The 26,685-nt window shown below is 48.6% G+C and overlaps 1 long non-coding RNA gene across 1 annotated transcript in view, besides 3 other annotated features; it reads left to right on the top strand.

The window, feature by feature from the left end:
• Positions 5,677-6,250: an enhancer, noted in NCBI's record as "H3K4me1 hESC enhancer chr20:17839885-17840458 (GRCh37/hg19 assembly coordinates)". NCBI's record gives its function as "activates a minimal SCP1, AML or CMV promoter by ChIP-STARR-seq in primed H9 embryonic stem cells {active_cell/tissue: H9 hESC(primed)}" and the evidence as "EXISTENCE:reporter gene assay evidence [ECO:0000049][PMID:30033119]".
• Positions 14,948-16,147: an enhancer, noted in NCBI's record as "P300/CBP strongly-dependent group 1 enhancer chr20:17829988-17831187 (GRCh37/hg19 assembly coordinates)". NCBI's record gives its function as "activates an origin of replication core promoter dependent on BRD2, BRD4, P300/CBP, MED14 and CDK7 cofactors, with strong dependence on P300/CBP, by STARR-seq in HCT116 cells {active_cell/tissue: HCT116}" and the evidence as "EXISTENCE:reporter gene assay evidence [ECO:0000049][PMID:35650434]".
• The window catches only part of LOC107985440 (uncharacterized), a 36,616-nt gene continuing 25,031 nt past the window's right edge, over positions 15,101-26,685 (top strand). Inside the window, exon 1 of the long non-coding RNA XR_001754511.2 lies at positions 15,101-15,326. This is a non-coding gene — a long non-coding RNA (uncharacterized LOC107985440). The remainder of the gene's footprint in view (positions 15,327-26,685) is intronic.
• Positions 15,312-15,606: an enhancer, noted in NCBI's record as "tiled region #14281; HepG2 Activating non-DNase unmatched - State 5:Enh". NCBI's record gives its function as "activates a minimal TATA promoter and a strong SV40 promoter by Sharpr-MPRA in HepG2 cells {active_cell/tissue: HepG2}" and the evidence as "EXISTENCE:reporter gene assay evidence [ECO:0000049][PMID:27701403]".

Raw genomic sequence — 26,685 nt, 5'->3', positions numbered from 1 at the left:
AAATCTCTGGAGATATTTTGGGTTGTCGAAATGGGGAAGAGATTGCCACTGGCATCTGGGGAGGGAGAGGCCAGGATGCTGCTGAACATCCTCCAATGTATAGGATGGTCCCTGCAGGAAAGAACAGACTGGGTCACCATGCGCTGGTGCCAGGTGGGAACACTCTGGTCTAGAGGAAGACTAGGTGGATTCAGGACTGTGGGTCCCAGGTACTGTGGCAGGCCCTTGCTTTTCCTCCTCTTTAAATTCCTTCCCCCAGCAATCAAGAGAAGACCACTAAATAATTATGGCTCAGTCAAGTCACAGTTATTCTTTTCTAAAAACAAGTAATACATGCACTTCATAAGAGACTCTACAAAATGCCCTTCCTCACAAGGGCACACAAGGAAAACTAATGATTTTGCATACCCATGCACACTGGCCCCCTAGTCCCTGCAATGGGGGTGTTCACTGTGAACACGTTTCTTGTGTATCCTTTTAGAGTTTCTCAATCTCAGTACGAATGACACTTTGGACCAGAGAAGTTGTTGCTGTATTGCAGGGGCTGTCCTGTGTATTGCAGGATGTTTTGTAGCATCCCTGGTCTCTCCCCACTCGATTTTTGTAGCACCTTCCTCGTTGTGACAGCTAAAAATGCCTCCAGACATTGACAATCATTCCCTGGCAGCCCTGGTTGAGAACCACTATTCTAGAGACATCCTTTGCATATTCATGCACATATGTATTTATGAAAATATATCTATGGTGCTTGGCACATTATAGGTGCTCAAGAAATATCTATTAAGATAACTTGAGAATAAGACAATAAAGCAGGTCTTACTTTAAATGCTCCAGAGGTACAGATTACGTGTATCCTTTTTTTTCTTTGGAGTTTTGCTCTTGTTGCCTAGGCTGGAGTGCAATGGTGTGATCTCGGCTCACCACAACCTCCGCCTCCCGGGTTCAAGCAATTCTCCTGCCTCAGCTTCCCGAGTAGCTGGGATTACAGGCATGTGCCACCAGGCATGGCTAATTTTGTATTTTTAGTAGACAGGGTTTCTCCATGTTGGTAAGGCTGGTCTCCAACTTCCGACCCTCAGGTGATCCGCCCACCTCGGCCTCCCAACGTGCTGGGATTACAGGCAGGAGCCACTGTGCCCAGCCACAGATTACATGTATCCTAACACAAATACAGGATAGGAAACAATTCTTTCCTGATTTGTACTTATCTGTTTTGCTTTCAGAGAGCATAGCTTGTTGTGCCCCCCAACCTCGATTTGTCCCCATTGCTGAAGGCAGGGATGAGGGGGCTGAATGCCAGAGGCCTCAGAGGTCCACCTCCAGAAGCAGTCAGCTGCCTGCAGTAATAGAATGATGATAGTCCTTACACATGGGGTCTCCTTCCCTCCCCGCACCCTGCCTGCCTGGGCTGATAGGGTGCGAGAGGCATCAAGTATGTGCCTCCTACACCCCGGCAACCCCTCCCACCTGGCATGTCCTGCTCTACAGACATCTGGTTTTGTTCCAGGCTATGGCCTTGGTTCCGGAAAGAGTGCCCTTCCTAAGAAGGTGGGGGCAGTAGTCCAGCTTGGGCAATCGGCCCAAAGTCCATTTTGTGTCATTCTTGGCAGCATGCCTGGTTTCTTCCTGGAGCGCAGCTGGGCCTGGGATGGTCCCTGGATTTTCCATTTTTCTGGAGTGGGGTGGGTGGGGAGCTGGGAGCTGGGCAGGTGACCTGTGCAGACACTGTTAAGTCCTGCTCAGGAGGCGCTGTACCCAGGGCCTGTTTGTTAATCCCTGCTGGGCCCAGGCAGGTGTATGGGGGGGCGGTGAAGCTAGCCTTCCCAGGGAGCACACAGCAGGGACGGGGAGCTGGGCCTTGGGGAACCCTAGAGAGCAAGGCAGATTGTAGCCATCGTGAGTGCTGTGGCCTGGATGTGATTTTCTAGGAGCTCAGGTGGGGCTAGGGGCTGGGGCTGGCGGCCTCAGTTTCTCTCCACATGGGCCTGTGTGTGTGGTGGCTTTGGGATAACTTATTACATGATGGCTCACGGCTTTGAAGGCACATGTGCCAAGAGAGAGAAACCTGCAGAAGCTGTGTGGCCTTGTCCAGCCGTGAGGATGAGGTTATCTGACATGGTTTATGGTGGACTCCACCAGCCAAGGAGGTCACAGAAGCCTGCCCAGGTTCAAGATGAAGGGACACTGACTTTACCCCTCGATAGGGGTGTGCCAAGGTCACTTGTATAAGAGCAAGTGGGATGGGAGATACTGTGGTGGCTGTTTTTAGAAAATGCCATCTGCCACAGGCTGTAAGGGGTTCCAGTCCTGAACAACAGTGAGAACCAGGATCTGCCATGTGCAACCGAGTAGCCCCCAGGGCTCCCCTAAGTTCCCACTGAGTACCTCCTTGTAAGTTTTTCTTGGTAGCTCGGACAAGCCCAAGGTTGGGGCAGGTTCAATGGACCCAGATGTCCTTGAGTGTATGCTCAAGTCTGTCTTCTGTTTCTCCCACATCCCACTGACAGGAGGGTGGGGCACAGCAGGGGAGGGGATACTCAGGGTGAGTTTGCTGAGCTGCTTATTTAGGCTAGCAACTTCTGTCCGTCCCAGAATCTCCTTCTCCCACTCCTGGATCCATCCTCTTCCCTCCCTCCTTCCTTCCTCCCTTTCTCACCATAAAATCTGTTCTTGCCACTGCCTCGTGTTCCTTCTTTCTCAGCCTCTCATTGACCTGGAAACCTCCACTTCTCTGAGATTCTCTCCCTGTGGTCACTAGTCACCCTCTAATCACCAAATCCTTTCACATCTCACCTTGTTTGCTTGCCCTCTCCATAGTTTGAACAGGACCTGCCTCCCTTCTTGGAACTCTTTCTTGGGGACCCCAGAGTCTCCTCCTACCTCGCAGACTGGCTTCTTCTTTCCCAGCATGTGTCCTTGGTTCTCCTCTCTCTCATTGAACCCCACGACTTCATCTGTTCCCTGTTAGCACTGACTACATAATCTACTCCCTTCTCTCCTACTTACCCCATGAGCTCTGGATCTCACATTTCTAACACCCTCCTTGCTCTCCTGACCTGACTGCTACCTGGATGTCTCAGGTCCACTAGACCAAAGTTCAATCCAGATCTGCTTCCCACTGTGACCTATTTCTTCCCATGTCACTGAGCATCACCTTCCAATCTGTCAAGGCAGAAAGCTTAGAGCATCACTAATGGCTTACTTCTTCCTCTACCACCTTTTAATTATGGGAAATTCTAGCAAGTCTACTGCCAGAAGATCTTTTGAATACATACATTCATTCATTCATTTAGTTAGCAAATATTGATTGAGTAGGTACAATACCCCAGGCACTGTTCTAGTGGCTGGAGATATAGCAGTCAGCCGAACAAACTCCTTCCATTCTACAAGGGACAGAAAGACAATAAACAGATAAAGAAGCAAACACATGGTATGACACGTGCTGGTAAGCTGTGAGACAGTAAGGCTGGGTGAGGGCTTGAGAGAGGAGGTGGGCGGTTGTTTTATGTCAGGTGGACAGGGAGAGCCTTACTGATCAGGTGACACTTGCATAGAGACCAAGAGGAAATGCAGGTCAGCGAGGCAGACACTGGGTCTTTCTTCACCATCCCATGGCTCCTCATCCTTTCCCCTCCCAACCATAAAAAGTACCTTCAGGCTGGGCGCTGTGGCTCACGCCTTTAATCCCAGCACTTTGGGAGGCCAAGGCAGGCAGATCATCTGAAGTCAGGAGTTTGAGACCAGCCTGACCAACGTGGCAAAACCCCGTCTCTGCTAAAAATACAAAAATTAGTTGGGCATGGCGGCGTGCACCAGCAATCACAGCTACTGAGGAAGCTGAGGTGGGAGAATCGCTTGAACCCAGGAGGCAGAGGTTGCAGTGAGCCAAGATCGCACCACTACACTCCAGCCTGGGCATCAGAGCAAGACTCTGGCAAAAAAAAAAAAGAAAAAGAAAAAGAAGAGAAGAAAAGAAATTACCTTCCCCTTGAACTTTTGGCCTCTAATCCTATCCTTCCCTCCTCATCCCCTTTCTGTGGCTCCCTGTCTCCCGTACATTTCAAACTGGCATGCAAGGGCATTCATAACTCTCTCCAAGCCTCTTTTCCAGCGAAGTCTTCCCTCAGCTGACAGAACTTGAAATGGCCCTGTGAGCTCCACTCTTCACTGTTACGCCCCATAGAATCCCCACCTCTTGAGTGCAGGTAAAACCTGTGACTTGCTCCTAGCAAGAAGCAAGAATATGGGCTATCACTCTTTATATGATAGAAGGTTCGGTCTTAGCAGACTTTATAGAGATTCTGCCGGCCTTGAAAAGGCAGCAGCTGTGTTGGGAGGTGCCCATGGAGAAGGCCCGTAGCAGGGAACTGTGGTGGCTTCTAGGAGCTGAGGGCAGCTTCCAGCCGCCAGCCGGTAGGAAGGTGGGGCTCTCAGTTCTAGAGTCACAGGAGATGAATCCTGCTAAAATCCTGAATGAACTCAGGTGCAGATTCCTTCCTGTCCAGGTCCCTGTGACCCCTGGTGCAGCCTGGAGAGCCCCTGAGCAGAGGACCTACCCTAACTGGGTGGACCCCTGGCCCGCGGAAGCTGAGATAATAAGTGTGTGTTGTGCCTAGCCTCTCAGTTTGTGGTAGACTTACACAGCAACAGAGCATGAATCCACTCAGCCTTCGTATCCCCTGCAAACCCTCAGGACTGCCCTGCTTCCAAACAAGTTTTTTCTTTTTCATGCCCTGCTAGGAGCACAAATTCTATGTACACAAATTCTCTAACCCTACATTTTCTCCCCAGTAAGATCGCGTTTGTCCTTCAAAGCCCCATTCAAATGCACCCTTTTCTCCATATTCTAGTTACACCCTGGTTCATCTTCCCCCCTGCCCCGCCCCCGCAACCCTGAGGGCCTGGTTCTCACCTCTCTTTAACCATGCCCGTGGCATTGGTGGCATTTGCGTGCCCGGCAGTTCCCCCACTTCCTCATCTCTCCATCTCAGGGTCTAGCTCAGTGCCTGGCTTCCAGCAAATCAAGCATTCTGAACTCGGAGTGTGAGCATGTGTGGATGGGGTTCATGGTATCCATTTCCCTAAAATCCAGTTCCCTAAAATTGCTTGGCAATTGCTGCTTAGGAGCATTTTGTTTTTCTGAGTCCCTGTCTTTCTTCAGACTCTCACAGAGGCTTGAGGTCCTGGAAAGATTAAGGCCTATAGAAGCAGGGTGTCAATGCACATTTCTTGAATTTAAGAAATTCACAAACTGGGTTGTGGCCCACTAAAAGGATTTTCATTTTCAGCTTTATGGCAAATTGTAGCTTCCCTGGAGGAATTGGAAGCATTCTCGGCGTTTTGCAGGAGAGCTGCTGTTTTGACATCTGCAAAAGCGCAGTCACGTAGGCAGCCCCAGGCTCCAACCAGGGATACAGATGGTCCAGCCTGGGGAAAGAGTGGGCAGGGTGGAGCAGGGGTGCAGGGAAGCCCGGACTCTGCTGCAGGAAGAGTGAACTGAGTGCAGAGTGGGGATGACGGGCGCAGGCAGGGCCCAGGGGGTTGGCTAATCCTGCGATGCTCCTTTAATAGTGCCAGGTGCTAGGATAGCTATTCCCCACTGCCAACTCCCCTGGGCTCTCAAGGACTGCCTTTGGCTGTGCCAGTGTATTTTTAGCCCTCCAGCAAGTGGAACAAAGTGCTCGGAGAGGCGCTGTTTCCCTCTCGGCTGCAGGCAACGCTCCGCACCTTTCTGAGCCGGTGCAAGGGCCCCCTCCAGCAGCAGAGAGGATGTGGGTCTGGCTCGCACCTTCCTCCCACGCCCTCCCTCAGGAGCCTGGGCGCGGGACGTCCTCATCGGTTGGAGAGAGGCGAGTTACCTGTGCTCCCGGTTGTTTAGGGGAGAGCGAGTGGGCTGGCCTTTCCCTAGGAGAGGACTCAGCACAGGGCAGGAGGCTGTCCTGGTGGGATCTGGCCTCTGACGACCACTCACTCTGAGGAAAAAATGATGTGTCCCAAGACCACCTCCAGTTAGGTGGGCAAGGCAGGGCGCTCTAGGCCAGGGGGCTAGGTGGACAGGTGAGCCCCTGACCACAGCCAGAAAAGCCCTCATCCCTGAAGGCTGCCATGAGGGGAGGCGTGGGTGAAAGTGGCAAGAAGCCACTTCCTGGTGACCCAGTGGTAAACACTTGAGGTCAACCTTGAGCATTGATCTGCCAAATATTTGCCTGGGTCACTGACCTAGCATACTTCCTGCCTTCATCTCCTCCCCAGCTGCAACCCGACTGCCCTACCCCTTGATCCTGGAGGGGTAGACATCATTTCCCAGAGAGGCCCTTTCCAGGCACAGTCCCCTCTCATGGGGCATGGGCTGTGGGTGAGGGTGGATGGGCTGGGGACTGGGGCAGGCATCCTCATGGGCCCTTTGAAGTGGCTACCCCAGTGAAGCTGGTCTGAAGCGGTCAAGGTTCACACAGCTGCCCACGCAGAACCAAACTCCACAAGGACCAGGCTGCCAGGGCTCCCTCCCCAACAGCTCCATCACCCGACCCTGGGAAAAAGAGAGACCTTGCCTCTCCAAGCAGGCAGGAGGAGGCCAAGGGGTCTCTGGCCAGGGCCTGGAGAGGCTCTCTCTCTCTCTCTTTCATCACACACACACACACACACACACACGCACACGCACACGCACATGCACGCACGCACGCACACACACACACCCTACTTCCCCTGAGTGCCCACCCTGGGTCGGTCACCATGCTAAGTTCTGCACAGACACTATACCCCACATTGTTGTAACCCTCTGTGAGTTACGTTGCTCCATTTTACCAAGTTGGAAACCAGGATTCAGAAATGTTAGGCAACCTTTCTGAGCTCACACAGCTGCGAGTGGGGAAGCTGGATGTCAGATCCCAGGCTGCCGGATGGCCTGCAGCACCCAAGAAGGAGAGAGAAGGACAAGAAGACCATGCACCTGTTCTGGGAGAGTCTGGGACAAGAGGAGATGTGAGGGCTGGTCGGAGGCAGAGCCGCTGTGCCTGCAGAGCACTGATCATTCACAATCATTTCCCAAAATCGCTTACAGGGAGAGAATTAAACCAACTTGCTTAAGTCATTGTTGTTTGGGATTTTCTGTCACTTGAAGCAAAAATGGTACTAAATAAAACACCTGTAGTCTAAGCCCCTTCCACTAGGCTGGCTGCCTGCTCTCTAAAGGCACCTCTTTCTGTGCCTGGCTGTTCCACAGGCTGCAGCCTTCCCTCTGGCTGTGGCTATCTCTGTATTTCCTTCAAGGCCCAGCTGAAAAGACCACCTCCTCCATGATGCCTTATGTAATTTCTACACATCAGAAATGATGAGTTCCTTTCCCTGCTGTCTCCAGTCTCTCAGTTTATTTCTTGTATTGAAGTCATCATGCCTGATTGGCATGTGATAATCTTCCATTGTGTATCTGTCTTACTCCTCAAGTTGGAAGAGACAGTATTTCCTTCAGCTTAACGGGGATGGTGTGTGGGTAAACCAGCTCTCCAGGAGAAAAAGCACCCTGATTTGTAGTGCTAGCCAATTCCCATGGTGTAAACGCTCCCACCATGGTCAGTTTCAAGCTATGATGGTTTAACAACTGGCTCAAAAAATTCCTGAGCATTTAACAGTTGGCTTTCATGAGTCAGTGCTAGCAGGCTCCAGCTTGCTACTGCTTAGGGTCTACCCACTGCAGAGGCTTAAGGCTTGCATTTAGTAGGCGTGCAACAGGCTGGTGCCACAAACTCTTACTTGGGTGTATTATTTGATTCAACACTTTTTTTTTTCCTGAAACCCCTACTTTGTTCCTAGAAGAATTTTAAATGGATATAGGGGAAGATCATTTGCAAACATGGTGACAATCCTTCCCCCTCCCTAAATCTATGCCCCTTTCCAATGTGACTTTGTAGCTTCTGGGGCTGATTTCCAGTCCTTGAATCAGGGATGGCCTTTTGACTTGACTTAGCCATTGGAATATGTTGGGAGTCACCTTATGACAGTTCCAAGCCTGGGCCTCAAGAGGCCCTGAGTACTGCTGCTCTTGTCTTGGGAGCCTGTTGGTTACCATGGATAAAGCCCAGGCTACTGTGCATAAAGCTCAGGCTATGCTGCTGAGGATGAGAGACCACGTGGAGCAGAGGCATACTGTCTCAGCTGAGCCATCCCAGATCAGACAGGCCCAGCAAACCCAGCAGCTGACCAAAGACATAGGAATGAGCCCAGCTAAGCACAACCCAAATGGCTAATATGAGGACTCATGAGCTAAATAAACAATAGTTATTTTAACCACTACATTTTGGAGTGGTTTGTTATGCAGCAAAAGCTGATACACCATCTTTGCATTCAGAAGTAGCTTAGCTTTTGACTGGAATGTCCATCTCTATCTGAGTGAGATATAGATAGCTTCATATTCCCTGCTATCCATCAGCCAAGAGCAAGAAGACCAAGTGTCAGCACCATTGGCCCTCCCAGCACGTAAGTTCCAGTAGAGTCTTACATCTCTCCCTAAACACAGCCTACAGGAACCTGGAAGATGTGGACGTTCTGGCTCCCTGATGGAAGAGTTGGACAAGAGGCATGGAGTCTGTGTCTATACACCAGAGTTAAGGTGAGCTCTCCTTGCCTTTGACTTTGCCTGTGCCGTGAAGTCATGCGGCTGGAGCTGCTCTTTTCCTATTAGTCAATGAAGACTTAACTGCCATTTGTGGGAAATGTCCAGCCAGGAATGGGAAACTCACAAATTCTTCTCTTTTCTGCCCCATAGAATTATTATTATTATTATTATTATTATTATTACTATTTTTTTTTTGATAGGACAAGAGGATCCTAATGTATCTGGGTTGGGGAAGAGAGAAAGAGCTGTGTGTTAAAGCTAACAATAATTTTCTACTTTCAGTTCAAGAGTAAAATCTCTCCTGTAATCTGTGAAGGAGTGTGTGAAAAACAAAACAAAACCCAACCTGCCCTCCAGGTTTGAACTGTAGAAACTCTGTGGTAGAAAAAAAAGGCATTCTAGGGAAGAAGAGAGGAAGCAGGCCATGAAACAGATTTGCAGCTGCAGGACGTGGTGGTGTGTGGTTCCCCTCTAACCAGCTGTGTGACCTTGGGCAAATCTCCCGGCCCCACTGGGACTGCATATCACATGGGGCTGGACTAGAGAACCCCACTCCCTAGAGGATACAGTATTTTTATGAGGGAGAGCTGGAGAGGCTCCTGACTTTTGATTGTTTACCCCTGGAGGTGTGTACAACCACGTGCCATTGACAGACAATGTACCCATTGTATGACAGGGAGGTAGTGGTGCCTTCCCCAAGTTATAATTGGCCTTGGGACACAGTCAGTACATACACACCCAACATTAGACACTCCATCACTGAGCAACTCAGTGCCTCTCATTCACAAGCTGTGTGATCCTAGGAGGTTATTCCACTTCTCTGATCTTCCATTTCTTTCTGTCCCTCCCTCCCTCCCTCCCTCCCTCCCTCCCTCCCTCCCTCCCTCCCTCTCTGTCTCCCTCTCTCTCTCTTTCTTTCTTTCTTTCTCTCTTTTTCTTTTCTTTCTTTCTTTTCTCTCTTTCTCTCTTTCTTTCAACAGGGTCTCACTCTGTCACCCAGGCTGGAGTGCAGTGGCATGATCTCGGCTCATTACATCCTCAACTTCCTGGGCTCAAGTGACCCTCCCACCTCAGCCTCTGGAGTAGTTGGGACTACAGGCATGCACCACCATGCTTGGATAATTTTTTTTTATTATTTGTAGAAATGGGGTTTCACCATGTTGCCCAGGCTGGTCTTGAACTCCTGGGCTCAACAGATCCTCTGGCCTTGGCCTCCCAAATTGCTGGGATTACAAGTGTGAGGCACCACATCCAGCCTGATTTTCCATTTCTTCCTCTAAAGTGTCATGTCATGTGAAACTTTTACAATGCTGGATTGTAAGAAATATTGAATGAAAAAACATATATAGTGATACTGTATGATTCAATACATAGAACATATACAGAAGCTTATTTTTATCTATTCACTTACAGGAAATCATGTTGACCAGAAGGTCTAATTTGGCCTCAAGCAGCCACACTACACTCAGACCTTCTGGGATTTTTCATTTTTCAGTTTCAGGACTTTTTTGTTCAGTTATATGTGTACTGGAACAATCTTTTTTTTTTGGCTATAATTTTTTTTAGGTTTTATGGAACACCCTTGGTGCTTATCTCAAAGGGTTATCAAAAGGATTACATGAGGCCAGGCATGGTGGCTCACACCTGTAATCCCAGCACTTTGGGAGGCCAAGGCAGGTGGATCACGAGGTCAGGAGATCGAGACCATCCTGGCTAACATGGTGAAACCCCGTCTCTACTAAAAATACAAAAAATTAGCCGGGCATGGTGGCGGGCGCCTGTAGTCCCAGCTACTTGCCAGGCTGAGGCAGGAGAATGGTGTGAACGTGGGAGGAGGAGCTTGCAGTGAGCCAAGATGGCGCCACTGCACTCCAGCCTGGGAGAAACAGCGAGACTCCATCTCAAATAAATAAATAAATAAATAAAATAAAAAAGGATTACATGAAATAATCCACCTAAAGCATGAAGGTTAGTTCCTGGACCAGTGGATGCTTCATCTATGGCAGCTACTATAGTGACTTCCCCACAGTGCTGGATGTTTGCTCTTGCTAATGCGGGGATTGATCTCCAGCTCTGGCTGGCAGGGCCTCTCAAGAACCCAGCCATCCTGGTTCCCCAGACCACAGGTCATCTCCCCACCTAAGATCATTCTCCCACAGTCCCCTCCTGTTGGGGATAGGGTGACAAAGACTTCTCCCTTGCTGCTCATGCTCTCCATTTCTGTAGGAATCAGAAAAGACGCAAAGCTGTCAGCTGAGACAATCTTCTGCCTTCAGGTAGGCACAGGGCCCTTCTCATCCCCATCACACAGCTCAGGCGGTGGAGACTGTCACTTTCCTGTTTGTCCTCAGATCCATCCCTCATCCTTCTCTGCTGTGCTGTGTTGCACGGCCCTGACCTCTGTGGACTACATTTCCCAGGCTCCCCTGCACCCTGGCTTCCTGACAAGTTCAGTCAATGGGAAGCAGTGGCAGGAGATTGAGCTTGGTAGAAGAGAGAAGCCAGGAATATTCTCTCTCCAGCCCTTTCTGTTTCAGGTGATGCCTCCAGCAGTGGCCAAGTCTCCTCCATAACTTCGGCTCCTAATAATACCCTCTCTTCCCTTGTTCCTCTAGCCCTGGGGAAGTAGCAGTTTCTACTTTCTGGGTTGCTCTACCCTCCCGTTTAGGTTTTCAGCTCTTCCATCACCTTTGCAACTACAGGTGACCCTTGAACAACATGGGTTTGAACTGCACAGGTCCTCTTCTACATGGATTTTTTTCAATAAACATTTTTTGGAGATTTGTGATAATTTAAAAAAGCTTGCAGCATGGTCTAGAAATATCAAGAAAATTCAGGAAAAGTTAGGTATGTCATGAATGCATAAAATATATGTAGATAGGAGTCTATTTTATCATTTACTACCATAAAATATACACAAATCTATTCTAAAAAGTTAAAATTTATCAAAACTTACACATACGGACACAGACCATACATGGTGCCTTTCAATCAAGATAAATGGAAACAAACGAAGATACAGTATTAAATCATAACTGCATCGAATTCACTGTACTGATACCATACTACTGTCATAATTTCATAGCCACCTCTTGTTGCTATTGTGGCAAGCTCCTGTTGCAAGTATCCACTTAAACACCATATGATGCTGATCATCTCCCTGTGAGCAGTTTGTCTCTAATGATACACTGCATATTGCAGTGAAAAGTGATCTCTTCTGGTTCTCGTGTATTTTTCTTTGTGTGCAGTGCATACCATAAACCCTGAATAGCACCATGAGACCCACATGAAGTGCCACTAGTGGTGCTGGGGGTGCTCCCAAGAAGCAGAGGAAAGCCATGACATTACAAGAAAGTTGAATTGCTTGATGTTTACCATAGATTGATGTCTGCAGCTGAGGTTGCCGGCTATTTCAAAAACAAATGAACCAGCCTAACAACCATTGCAAAAAACAAAAGGAAATTCGTGAAGCCATTTCTGGGCCAGCAGGCACAAAAACTTTGCACTTTTTTTGCAAAATTCCTTTCATATTGAAAATGCAGCTTTCATGTGGGTGCAGGATTGCATACCTAGAGACTCTAATATGATTCACGAAAAAGCAAAGTCGTTTTATGACAACTTAAAGCAAAAGGGTGTTGGAGGATCTAAAGCTGGAGCATTTAATGATAGCAAAGGATGGTTTGATAATTTTAGAAAGAGGTTTGGCTTAAAAAATGTCAGGATAACAGGAGAAGCAGCTCCTGCTGACCAAGAGGCAGCAGACGAGTTCCCAGATGCCATTAAGAAATGATTTAAGGGCCGGGCGCAGTGGCTCACACCTGTAATCCCAGCACATTGGGAGGCCGAGGCAGGCGGATCACAAGGTCAGGAGATCGAGACCACGGTGAAACCCCATCTCTACTAAAAATACAAAAAATTACCCGGGCGCGGTGGCGGGTGCCTGTAGTCCCACCTACTTGGGAGGCTGAGGCAGGAGAATGGCTGAACCCAGAAGGCGGAGCTTGCAGTGAGCCGAGATCGCACCATTGCACTCTAGCCTGGGTGACAGAGCGAGATCCCATCTCAAAAAAAAAAAAAAAGAAAAAAGAAAAAAAGAAATGATTTAAGAAAATCATTGAGGAGAGAGGATGTCTACCTGAACAGGTTTTTAAATACAGATGAAGGTACTCTATTCTGGAAAAAAAAATGGACAAAGAACATCTATTAGTAAGGAAGAGAAGTGAGCACCAGGATTTAAGGCAAGAAGGGTTGGGCTAACTCTATTGTGTTGTACAAATGCAGTAGGTTTGTGATTGGGACTGCTCTTATCTATAAAGCTGCTAAACCCTGATCCTTGAAGGGGAAAGATAAGCACCAGTTGCCAGTCTTTTGGTTGTGCAAGAAGGCCTGGATAAGGAGAGCTCTTTTTCTATACTGGTTCCTTCGATGCTTTGTTCCTGAAGTCAGAAAGTACCTTGTGAGGTAGGGACTGCCTGTTAAAGTTCTCTTGACCCTGGACCATGCCCCTCGCCACCCAGAACCCCATGAGTTCAACAGCGAAGGTGTCAAAGTGGTCTCCTTTCCCCCAAACACAATGTCTCCAATTCAGCCTCTAGATCAGGTCATAAGAACCTTTAAAGTTCAATACACACAGTATTCCATGGAAAGGATTGTCAGTGCTATGAGAGAGAACCCCAATAGAGAAAATATCATGAAAGTCTGGTGGGATTACACCATCGAAGATGCCGTTGTTGTTATAGAAAAAGCTGTGAAAGCCATCAAGTCTGAGACATTAAATTCCTGCTAGAGAAAACTGTGTCTAGGTGTGCATGACTTCACAGGATTTATGACACAGCCAATCAAGAAAAGAGATTGTGAGTATGGCAACAAGGTTGGGGAGTGAAGGGTTTCAAGATATGGATTTTGGAGAAATTCAAGAGCTAACAGACACCACACAAAGGAATTAACAGAAGACAACTTGATAGAGATAAATGCTTCTGAACCAGAGCCGGACAATGAGAAACAAGACATGGTAGTGGATTATCAGAACTTATTAACGTTAGTGTCACTGAAGTTGGTATACAACCCCCACTGCTAAATTTGACTGGCTCAGGAAAAAAAAAGAACATAGAAGACGCACTGTGAGAAAAGAGACTGACATTAGACAATCTGGCAGAAGGGTTCCAATGACTTAAGATTGTTGACCAGGTGCAGTGGCTCACACCTGTAATCCTAGCACTTTGGGAGGCTGAGGCGGGTGGATCACCTGAGGTCAGGAGTTCGAGACCAGCCTGACCAGTATGGTGAAACCCCATCTCTACTAAAAGTACAAAAATTAGCCAGGTGTGGTGACGTGTGCCTGTAGTCCTAGCTACTTGTGAGGCTGAGACAGGAGAATTGCTTGAACCTGGGAGGCAGAGGTTGCAGTGAGCCAACGTCGTGCCATTGCACTCCAGCCTGGGTGACAGCAGGACTCCAACTCAAAAAAAAAAAAAAAAGTCAGTTTTGACTTTTTTTACCACATGGACCCTTCTATGGTTTGGGCACTGAAACTAAAGCAAATGGTGGAAGAAGAATTGGTACTGTACAGAAACATTTTCAGAGAAATGAGAAAGGAAAAAAGTCAAACAAAAATGATGATATATTTCCATAAAGTTACACCGAGTGTGCCTGCCTCTCCCGCTGGCCCTTCCACCTTCTCATCCTCTTCTGCCTCTGCCACGCTGAGACAGCAGGACCAATCCCTCCCCTTCCTCCTCCTCCTCAGCCCACTCAGCATGGAGACAATGAGGACGAAGACCTTTATGATGATCCACTTCCACTTAATGAGCAATAAATTTATTTTCTCCTTCATATGATTTTCTTAATAACATTTTCTTTTCTCTAGCTTATTTTATTGTAAGAATACAGTAATAATATTTATAACATATAAAATATGCATTAATCAACTGTTTGTGTTATCAATAAGGCTTCCGGTCAACAGTAGGCTATTACTAAACTTTTTGGGGAGTCAAAAGTTATATGTGGATTTTCAATTACGTGAGGAGTTGATGACCCTAACTTCCTCATTGTTCAAAGGTCAAGCTGTAGTTTCTAGTATTAATTCACTATTGAACTACTTGGCTGGGGCTCTATTTTTCTGGTGGGGCCCTGAGTGCTGCAGCTACCATGGTCAGATATCTACGTATATCTGAATGTTCTCACCACGTAACCTCCAAATGGCCACAAGTTTGCAAAAAAAATTTCATAGGAATTTTTCCAGGGCAGCTTGCATGCTGACTCTGTGCTGGAGGGCAGATGGCCACACTTCCTGTAGTAAGCTGTTTGTAAGCAAAAATAGCCATAGTTATTCCCTCCCCTATCATATCCCTTCACGATGTGCCTTTGCTGCTCCTCCCATCAACAGATGGAGTCTATTTCTCCACCCCTTGAATCCACGCTGGTCTTGCGACTTGGCCAATAGAACGTGGTGCAACCAAGTCCAGGCCTCAAGAGGCCCAGCACACTTCCATTGCTCCCTTGGAAACCCGTCCAACCTGTGCTGTGAACATGCCTGGGCCAGCCTCCCAGAGGAGGCGAGAATGCAAAGCAGAAGGAGCCGTTCCCGCTGAGACCATCGGGACCAGCTAGTGCCCAGATGAGCCAGCAGCTCCCTCCAGATGCAGGGGTGAGGCCCATTTGAGGCCAGCTGAGCCCAGTCCAGATCCAAAGAACCATTCAGACCATCCACAGACTTGTGAGTAAAAGTAAACCGTTGTTATCTTTAACTACTACATTCTTGGGATGATTTGTTATACAGCAGTAGCGGATACGCCCCACGTGTGGGTGACGGCAGGAAGTAGAGAATTCCACATTTGCTTCTGACTCATAACACGTTCTGTGTCCAGGAGTCTCCAGTGCCAACAGGGATCTCCAGGGCAGCAGCAGGAAGTCCAGTCTAGCTGGCTCTGACCTCAGTGGCCAGCTGAGGAAAATGTGAGTGTATGGTTGAGTAATTGCATCTAGTCAAGTTTAAGGTGTGGGTGCTGGATATAGTCCTCAGCTCCTGGAGTGATCCTGGGTGCTAAGGGGGTCTGCTCTGTGGTAGGGACTCTCTGGGGTGGGGCAACCCTCTCCCCTCTGCTGCATTTAGTAGAAAAGTGAAGCACAGAAAGGCTGCCAGCTGCCTGCCCTCAATCGTCTTTCCTGATCTTACCAGTTACAGAGTCTGTATTATTAAGCATAGCACAGTCACCTTTCCTGGCCTCCTTTATGACAAGGGTGGCCAGTCTAAGCAGAAATCACTGGGTGGGGACTTTAGCCTGGGTAGGAGGCCTCCCTTTTCCCTCTCCTTCCCTTCCCACCTCCCAGTCCCCTTCATGCTGAGGTGCCCTGGGCACACACATCTGGCCAACCACACTCCATCATTCTCTTGCAGACAGCGTCCCCTTGGCCACCCTCAGGACGAGGGGTACCTTCTAGAAGGGGATGTGTGTGATCATCTAGCTGGGCATGTCCCCTTGGCCTCACCAACTCCTTACTCTGGGGAGGACTATGGCCCAGAAGAGCCAGCATGGAGTTCGGCAGGGCCTGAGGCCCGGGGCAGGGGCCTCACCCAGCAGGTCAAAGCCCAGCACGATTGCAGGGCTTCCTGGTGTCACTGCAGACCTGGCTCTCTGGGGACACCAGAGTTACCCTGCTTCCCAGTGGACTCATTCCTGATTCCTTGGACCATTGGAAGCTCATTCCCCTTTTCCAAGGAATGACAATTCATGTCTTTCCAAGTTAACTTCCTATTCCCACCCATTCTGCGATGTAGCTGACAATGGCTTTCTCTAAAGAAGCAAAAACCCTAAGTTGGATCTCTGCTAGGCACCCCCTTTGGAAGGTGACAGAGGGACATTTCAGCCCATCCTGAGCATGTCCCCCTCCTTGGTCCTCAAAAGTCACAGGCCCATGCCTTGCCTACCTGATTCATGTGACCCTGTCCCCGCACCTGCAGGCATAGCACCTGCCATCCCTTCCTGTTTGAGACCATCCCGGAGGCCCTCAGCTCCCAGCTGCCCCTCCCATCCTGGGTCTCTGCTGCTCAGTATGTTATCCAGGAAGCATGGGGCAGATGTTTTTGCCAAACCACTGGGCTGTGGCTAACCTGTAGGGGTGGTGAGGGTGACTGCACAGGTGTGTGCAGTTCCCCTCCACCTCCCAGCCATCTGGGCTCTCTGGGGGGAGCAAGTTACATATATATTTATATCAGCAGGGACTGTGGAACCCCCAGCAATAAACACTGATGGCTAAGGACTTTGGGTGCATGTTATCCACTGAATTAAACTCCTCTCCAGCTGCCTTGAAGGTTGAGAGGCTCAGTCTATAGTATTAGCTACAAGCTCTTGATGAGAGCTCAAAGGTCTGTTCCATTACTGATGAGAAAACCAAGGCTCAGAGAGGAGCAGGGACTGGATCCAAGCATTCTGACTCCAGGGGCCTTTCTGAGGGCCCAGGTGGGTCTGGCTTCATAGGCTTCCTCCAGGGAAGTGTGAACTCTGCAAACTGCAGCCTCTCCTGAGGGTATGGAGCTGCTTCTGAGGTTTTGAAGGGAGCTTCTGGAAGCCTTCCTGAGAGCTGAGCTCCTGGGTGCCGACGGGTTGCCCAGTGCTCAAGGGGATGGGCTGGGCCTCCCAGCCTGTGGTTACAGAGGGAAATGCTCTTTGGAGCCCACCCTGAGACGACACCTGCAGTGCATGTTCTGGGGCCCAGACAGAAGGCACCCCTGCTCCTGGAAGGCGTTATTGGGAGCTGCTCAGAGGAGGAGGCCAGAGACACCCTTGTGAGATGGTTGTGCTAGGAAAGTTTTGGAAATCCGATTTTCAAAGTGAAGCAGTGAGCCTGTGTGTACGATGTGCATAATAGTTGTGCGTGTACATACATGTATGTGATGTGTACATGTGTAGGTGCACGTGTGGATATGTGAGTGTGTATGTGCATGAGAGGTGTGTTTATATGTGTGTGAATGTGTGAGCAAATATGTGAGTGTGTATGTGCATGAGAGGTGTGTTTATATGTGTGTGAATGTGTGAGCAAATATGTGAGTGTATGTATGCACATGCATCATGGGCAGGCGTGCTTGTGAGGGTGTGTGTGTGTCTTTGTGTGTGTATATTTATGTGTGCCATATGTGTAAGTGCATGTGTCTATTTGTGCACCTGAGGTTTGCGTGCATATGTGTGAGGGTATGTTAAGAATAGCCCAGACCATGGCATGTGAATGGTGCCTGGTTTTGTCCACTTCCAGGGAAGGAGGGAGCAGGACGGTGACACGCCATCTGTATTGGCCAGTCCTCTTTCCTGCCACCATTCTTTTGCCCCAACTTTCTTTCTGTTAAGCCTTCATCTGGGGCCTGCTACCGTGTAATATTGCCTAAAGATGATCTGTCCTTCCCAGTAACAAAGCAGTGCATGCTCCTCACAAAAAACTGGAAAATAGGCCAGGTGCAGTGGCTCACACCTGTAATCCCAGCACTTTGGGAGGCCAAGGCAGGAGGATTGCTTGAGTCCAGGAGTTCGAGACCAGCCTGGGCAATGTGGCGAAACAAAAAATACAAAATTAGCTAGTGGGATGGCATGCACCTGTAGTCCCAGCTACCCAGGAGGCTGAAGTGGGAGGATGGTTTGAGCCCCGGAAGCGGAGGTTACAGTGAGCCAAGATCGCATCACTGCACTCCAGCCTGGGCGACAGAGCCAGACCCTGTCTCAAAACAAGCAAACAAAAAACCCCCCAAAACCGACAACAACAAAACCTTCTGGAAAATAGAGAAGAGCACAAAGAAGGAAATAAAAATTGCCTTTAGTCCCCAAAACCAGAGTGCTGGCTGTGGCTTAATAGAATGTTCTTCTGCAGCTGGGACTTAGGGAGCCGAGGAGGAGAGGGAAACACGAGCACCATCATCATCCGAGGGCCCTTGACCCTTGGCCCCACACGGGCTAAGCCTTTGGAACTTCAAGGTCTCTTACATTGTTATGTTGTTGCTGTTGTTGCTGTTGTTTTGTTGTTGGATTCTTCATGATTCACAAAGTCCTGGAGGTGACCAGTTTGGCCTGAGCTGTGAAAACCGATATAGTGACCTGGGTTTAAATTAGGTCTCCACCAACCTAAAAGTTGTCTCATCTTGGTTGGCTCAGTCATTTAACCTCTTCAAAGTGAAGCAGTGAGCCTGTGTGTATGATGTGCATAATGGTTGTATGTGTGCATATGTGTATGTGATGTGTACATGTGTAGGTGCAGGTGTGGATATGTGAGTGTTTCCTCAGTTTCCTCATCTCTACAATGGGGTAAAAACAATGACCTTGAAGGGCAGTTGTTGGGGTAGACATTGTGTCTGGCCTCCTCCTGTTTTCTCTCAGACCCTTTTCTCTCCTTTCTGCTTTCTGTTCTACAGTGTGGAGAGGGTCCCTTCCAGGGCCCCTGCCCTCTGGCTTCAGATAGGCTTGGACAAGTGAGTAGAAGCCTGGAGGGCAGAGGCGGGGAGAGCTCAGGGTGTGTCTCCCTGCTCTGCTTCTGGGGGTGTGTCAGGCAGTGGCTGCCTCTCTGCTGCGGCTCCAGCTCCTGCCAGAGGCCCCAGAACCATCAACTCTGATGACCCCACCTTGTCCCTTTGTCCTTTCCTGTCCCAGCCCTAGTGATGGTAGCAGTGGCTTCCTGTTGTTACTAACCTCTGGGTGACCTCGACATCCTCATATGGCTGTTCATCAATTCAAAGCTGCAAAACAAGTTCCCTCTATTAAACTCCCTGGGTTGGAAGATCTAGCATGGTTTTGGTTTTGTGCTGGGACCCTGATCCGTACAGAAATGACAAGCAGGGCAGTGTCTGGTGCCAAGAGGAGGGTCAATGTGTAGCACTCAGGTCTAGAGCTGTGGCCCCTCGTGGGCTTATGACAACATCACCAGCTAACCCCTTCTCTCAAGCGAAGAGCTCAACCCTGCCTTCTCGCCTTTCTTGATCAAAGCCCTGACTTAGCTCTTCGGCATTTTTTTTTTTTTTTTTTTTTTTGAGATGGAGTCTTGCTTTGTCATCAGGCTGGAGTGCAGTGGTGCGATTTTGGCTCACTACAATCTCCATCTCCTGGATTCAAGCAATTCTTCTGCCTCAGCCTCCTGAGTAGCTGGGACTACAGGCCTGCGCCACCACACCCAGCTAATTTTTGTATTTGTTTGTTTGTTTTTTGTTTTTTGTTTGAGACGGAGTCTCACTCTGTCACCCAGGCTGGAGTGCAATGGCATGATCTTGGCTCACTGCAAGCTCCGCCTCCCAGGTTCACACCATTCTCCTGCCTCAGCCTCCCGAGTAGTTGGGACTATGGGCACCCACCACCATGCCCGGCTAATTTTTTGTATTTTTAGTACAGACTGGGTTTCACCATGTGGGCCAGGATTGTCGTGATCTCCTGACCTTGTGATCCACCCGGCTTGGCCTCCCAAAGTGCTGGGATTACATGCGTGAGCCACTGCACCCAGCCTCTTTTGGCATTTTTAGTAACATGACCCAGTGTAAGGGAATGGGCTCTGGCAGCCCTGGGTTTGAACCTAGATTCACTATTAGTAGCTGGGTGACCTTCAGCAGGCCGCGTCAACTCAGCTGCATTATCTAAGCTCAGGGGATAAGAATACCTAATTCACAGAGATGGTATTTGTAAAGTACTCAATAGAGAGTAAACAGTCAGGTGTGAGGGCTCATGCCTGTAATCCTAACACTTTGGGAGAATGAAGCAGGAAGATTGCTTGAGCCCAGGAGTTAGAGACCAGCCTGGGCAACATAGCAAGATCCCATCTCTAAAGAAAGAAAGAAAGAAAGAGAGAAAGAGAGAGAGAGAGAAGGAAGAAAGGAAGGAAGGAAGGAAAGAAAAGAAAGAAAAGAAAGAAAGAAAGGAAAGAAAGAAAGAAAGAGAAAGAAAGAAAGAAAAAGAAAGAAAGAAAGAAAAGAAAGAAAAGAAAGAAAAGAAAAAATTAGCCAGGTGTGGTGGTGCATGCTTGACCTGCTCAAGGTCACCCAGCTAGTAATAGTGAATCTAGGTTCAAACCCAGGGCTGCCCTACTGCAGAGCCCAGTAATCCCAGCCACTTCCGAGGCTGAGGTGGGAAGATGGCTGTAGCCTAGAAGTTGGAGGCTGCGGTGAGCTGTGATTGCGCAATTGCACTCCAGCCTGGGCAAGAAGTGAGACCCTGTTCTCAAAAAAGAAAAAAAGGAAAAGAAAAAAAAGTATGGTGTCGTGTTTGTTGACTGTTATTAATCAATATTATCACCACAGACCCTTCCTTCAAGAACGTGGGATCTTTTCACCCGGTTGTGTGCGAGTGGACATTGAAATGGCTCACTTCTGGTCTTTCTAATATCTCTTGATATGAAGAGTGCAAAGACTGCTGGGAAAGATGGGAACATTTGCACAGGGGCTGAGAATCATGGGAAGAAAAGGGAAGAGACCCAGAACCTTTCCTTTCAATGTTGGCCTGAAAACATCTTGAGTAGATTGAGATCATCACCAAAAGGCTGGGGACCATGATGGAGAGCTGAGTCTGGTGGAGTTGAATTTGCCCACACTGGGCCCACAGGTTTGCTTCTACCTGGCATGTCTTTTCATTTCTTGTCCATCCAGCAAACTTCTATACATCCTTCAAGACCCAGCTGAGTTAAGGCCTATGGTGACCTTTGGTGACATCTCCAGTAGAATTAAACCCCATCATTCCTTCTGCTCTCAGCACTTGCGCATACTTCAGTGGTGGTGCCTACACACCCTCTTCTGTGAACTCTTAACGGCTCACACATCCTCCCGTCACCATGCCTGTCACATCCCTGCAGGAGTAGGAGGAGCCATGAGGGTAGTTGGTAACTGCTGAGCACTCACTGCATGTCAGGCACTGTGCTGTGTGTGTGATGCGTGTCACCCCACTGGCCCTCACCACTTCCTATGGGGTGTCACCACTTTACAGATGAGGGGACAGACAGGTGTACAGACCCATCGCTACCTGACTCTGGAGGCTGCATTCTCAACCTCCCTCATTTTGCTTGTGAACCCCAGAGAAAAGGGATCGGCTTATACCCTCCTTTGGGTACCCAGTAGCTGGCAGGATGCCTGTCACCAAGTGGTCACTTAAATGTCGGGTGAAATAAAGGAACATTCCACGGTGCTGACATGCCAAGGTTTATGAAACCACTTCCCTTATGTTGCTGTGAATATTTCTGAGCACAGCTCTCTTTCTTGGGCTGGATTATTTTCTTTGGGTCAGTTCCTGGGAGTGGAATGACTGGGCCACGTCATCTTCCACCTCCCAGAGCCGCTGGCAGTGAAGGAATAAAGCTGTTCTTTGCTGCCTTGCAGGCCAGGCCCTCTTCTCACCTTGATGTGGCTCCAATGCAGGCGCCCTGGCAGGCCTGAGACAGCTACACTGAGTCCTCTGGAGCCAGCGGTGGGGCCCTGTGCGGTCAGCGAGCCAGGATCCCCAGCACCACCCAGCACCCACAGCCCTTCCTCCAAACCCTCCCCAGCTGCCTCATTGGCAACTGGATTCTGTCTGGGGGCAGGGATCAGACCTGCAGGCATCCTCCCTGACCACACCACTGCCTCTGGCTTCCTTATTTGGAGGGTAAGAGATGAGGAGGTAGGAGAAGAGAAGAGGGCGGATGGAGGCAGCACAGGGAAGAAAGGATTGGGCAAAGGAGGGCAGGCCATAGGGAAGGGGTGGCCCCGAGTCCGTGCCTGGGGGTTAAACCTCCAGCACCCCATCTCATTTCTCCAGGGCTGGGGCAGATGGCCCTCCCGATTTCTGCAGACCTTCCTCCAAATCCTCAGCTCACAGAGGGAAAGGCGAATTCTCACTCTGGACAGGGACTCTGACCTCAGGTCCCTCGGCTGTGCTGAGAGCTCAGGGGTGGGAGAAAGCAGGCAGAGGGATGCTGGTGCCCCTGCCCTTCCCATGAAGACCCCCTTTTTCTCTGTCTCCTCTCCTTTCCATCCATTTATTTCCTTATCTTCCTTTATGGGTATTTCCACTCCAGTTACAAATGGGAGAAGACCAGGGATGCCCAGTTAAGACCAGAGACATCTCGTTTAGCACAGAGTCACCCAATTTAACTCAGAGACACCTGGTTAAGGGTGTCCTGACCAGTTGAGACCAATTTTTGTATGTTTTATGGTTGCCAGATAAAATCCAGGATGCCCAGTTCAATTTGAATTTCAGATGGGCAATGAATAATATTTTTAGTATAAGTATGTCCCAAATATTGCACAGGACACACACTAAAAAAAATTCATTGTTTATCTGAAATTCAAATTGAACTAGGCATCCCATATTTTTATTTGCTAAATCTGGCAAAGACAGTGCATTTCTCTTCTTTTCCTGAATTTTAAACTCTTGGGATTCGGCATCTGCCTCCCATCCTACTCCACCAACCAGCTTCCCTCTTCCACCTTTTTGGTGGAAATTTGACTTCTCTTAAACCCGTGCTCTTTTTAATTTCTCTCCTTCCCTGGGTTTTATTTAGTTAAACAAAGTCACACTGGGTCTCCATTTCAAAGTGTTTGATGTTATTACTAGATACTGGGGTTGAGGCAGTCTAAGCTTTTCGAAAGGTTTCTTCAGGACATTGGAGGGAAATTAAACCTTGGAAAATATGCTTGACATTTTTTTTTTCTTTCTAAAAAGAAAGTCTGTGCGTTCAGTTCCCTTATGGTCACGGGAGCACAAACAGTGGAGTTAAGGCCAAAAAGCTCATTTCTCAAGCCGCCACCAGCTGCAGCCCCGGCCAATAAATGATTTATCTCCAGCTGCACGGGCCACTTTCTCAGGGTTTCCATCCTCAGCTGAGCTTGTTCAAAGAGGCCTCGAACTTGTAGGCTCAGAGGGATCCGAGGAACTAGCTAGACCAGAGCTTCCCAAACTACCATGTCCAACAGGTCACTGGGGGAGCTTTCACCAGTCCCATGCTCAGGCTGACACAGCCTCATCAGCTCAAAATCACTGGAGCTGAGACCCAGCCATCACGGAAAAAAAAAATAAACTTGGCCAGGCGCGGTGACTCATAATCCCAGAACTTTGGGAGGCCGAGGCGGGTGGATCACTTGAGGTCAGGAGTTCGAGATCAGCCTCGCCAACATGGGGAACCCCCATCTCTACTAAAAGTACAAAATTTAACCGAGTGTGGTGGCACACGCCTGTAATCCCAGCTACTCTGGAGGCAGAGGTAGGAGAATTGCTTGAACCTGGGAGGCAGAGGTAGGTTGCAGTGAGCCAAGATCACACCACTGCACTCCAGCCTGGGTGACAGAGTGAGACACTGTCTCAACAACAACAACAACAAACTCCCAGATGATTTTAGATTGAGACCCAGTGAACCAGAGTGGTGCTTCTCAATGGCTCCTGGAAGTTGATGGACAAGGACCCCAGCTCCCCGCCTGTTGGTTGCAACAACTCTGAAGTATGTGACCCTCTTCTATTGGTCACCCCTGTCCTCAGTAGCCCATCCTCCCACAGCAGTAACTGGCTCCAGTAAGCCCCCTTTCTTGGCTTCTCTTCCCTGTTTCTCTTCCACATTTCTCTATGGTGCTTCTTGAGATCACCTCCCAAATCACCTACTTGTACTCAAATCCTTCTCTCTGATTTTGACCGTGGTTTATGATAGGTCACTGTTGCCCACAGATGGATGGTTTAAAATGCAAATTCTCAACTTAACAGGCTGCCCAGAATGGCAGAAGACCCCAGTTTTTGGAGCCAGGCAGACAAGGCACAAATCTTAGTTTGGTGGCTTAGACATTCTAAATTACTGTGGCATTTTCCGAGTCTCGGTTTTTAAAATCTCTAAATTGGGGTTAATAATGGCTGCCTGTTGGGGTTGTTGAAGAGGATAGAATAAAACAGCTTCTGTAGAAGGTAGAATAATAATTTCCTATTTTCACTTCCCTGTAGTAGCATTAATATTAGATGTCCACACTCTTGCTATGGCCTCAGGTGGCAGAGTATACTTAATGTCCCTTAGCTTTGGTCTTAGCCATGTGACTTGCTATGGTCAAGGATGTTGACAGTCATGATGTAAGTGAAGGCTTGAGTGGGCTTGTGCTGTTAAGCTGGCTCCTGCACTTTTTTACCATCATTGTAGAAAATAATTTTTTAGGTAGCGCTGGTTCCAGAAGTATAAGAAACATACTAAGCAGAATTGAACCCATCCGATGGCCAGGAGTCAGGCCCAGCTGAGCCCCGCTTAGGCCAGCCAAATTCCATGTAACCCGAAGATGTTGTATGCTGTGAATTTTGTTACACAGCTTTATTGTGGGAATAGCTGACAGATACACTATTTATAAAAACACCTACACAGGGCCTGGTACATCGTAGAGGTCCAGTAAATGCCAGTTGCTGTCTCTTTTCATCACATACACTAACATGGGAGCCAAGACATTTCCCTGATTCTTATCCCTCAAATCAGACTTCTGGATAAAGACCTTGGAATGAAAGCCATGTTGGGATTGAAGCTCAAATTGGTAATGGAATCCTGCCCATGCAAACCCTCTTTCCTCATGTGGCTCCCAGCACTTCTCTGATCAGAGATAGAGACCTTTGTAACAGCATTAGTTCCCCCTCACCCCGTCTTTTAAAGGAGGCACAAGCCTGTCTTTTCCTAAACTTTCCTAGAAAGACCTCACCCCTTGTCTGTGTCTGTCACTTAGGGCACAGCATAAGCTGTTTCTTACCATTTCACTTTTCACCTGCCTTCATTAATGATAACTCTAATATAATAGTCAACATTTTAAAATATTAATTGCTCATCAGGCATGATGCTGGGTACTTGACATAAATATTGTTTAAAAGTCAGCACATCTAAAGATCAAATGAATGCTTCATTTACAAAATGTCTAATGATTTTGAATTATATGTGAGTCAAGGTTTCAAAGCCTGATTAATTATAAAAATATATTTTTCAAAAGTCAACACATCCTTATGGTGTAGATAATGGTATTATCTCTCATTTGCGTATAAGGAACTTGAGGCCCACAGAGATTTGGTGCTACCCAGACCCAAGTCCATCTGATCCCCAAACCATGCCCTTACCCCCACCCTATGCAGCCAATGTGGTCCCTCTAACTAGATTGCAAGGTCCTTGAATTCACAAGCTGTATCGGATGCACTTGGTGAGCCCATCACACACAGTAGTCACATGGCTGTCATTTAGTGACTGGCTGGAGCTGCAGGGATCAGGCAAGGGGTTTTCATGTTCATGGCAGGGCTGATCCTTCTGCAGAAGCACCCAACACCCTGGGCAGATCCTGTGCTTCCCACCGTCAGCATCTACCAGCCACACTGGACCAGTGTCTACCTCCTCTGTATTTCTGCTCAGTCTTAGGTGCTCTGTGAATTTCCAAAACACACAACAGGTCTCTGGGAGTCCTGGGAATTGTCACAATGCTTTTGTTGGCAAGCAACAGAAGCCAGGTTTGGGCTCTGGTGTCCTTTCCTTTCACTTTTCTTGTCTGCCCATTTCTGTAGATCCACTTGATTTTCTGCTGGATTTCCCCATGTTCCAAGCCTGTACACCCTCGAGATTGAATTTGTGTTCCCAGCCTCTGGGCCACTCCCTGTGGTGTTCCATGGGAATCTCATATGCGAAGTGACTTCAGTCTGGGTTATTTGTACCAACCACTATGACAAGGTAGCTAAGACTTACTCCAGTCAGGACTCTGGAGCTAGGGCAGGGTCAGACACACACCATCTTCGTGGTTGCCAGGGCAGCGGGAAGGGTGGAAGGATGCTTGGCAGCAATGACACATCTATATGGAGGGATGATGTGTGGAGGAAGGGGTGGGGTGGGAGAGCAGAGAGGCTGCAGGAGGGGCCCCAGCATGCTACTTGGTTCTCAGAGAAAGCAATGTCCTTTTATAGCCTATGTCCTCCGAGGCTCTCAAACAATTGTACCAGCCCCTGGCAGGGTGATTCTTTCTCTCCTGTAAGAGGAGTTGCCCATTAGCCTTGGCTGTGCCTAAGTGTGGATTCTTCCAGAACAGATCTGGGACAAGGTCTCGTGTGCCTGCGATTTATTAAGGAAGTGCTCCCAGGGCAAACTGGGAAGGGGCTGAAGGA

Source organism: Homo sapiens, chromosome 20 (assembly GCF_000001405.40).
Source record: "Homo sapiens chromosome 20, GRCh38.p14 Primary Assembly".
Lineage (NCBI taxonomy): Eukaryota > Metazoa > Chordata > Mammalia > Primates > Hominidae > Homo > Homo sapiens.
This window is presented reverse-complemented; position numbering and strand designations above follow the sequence as displayed.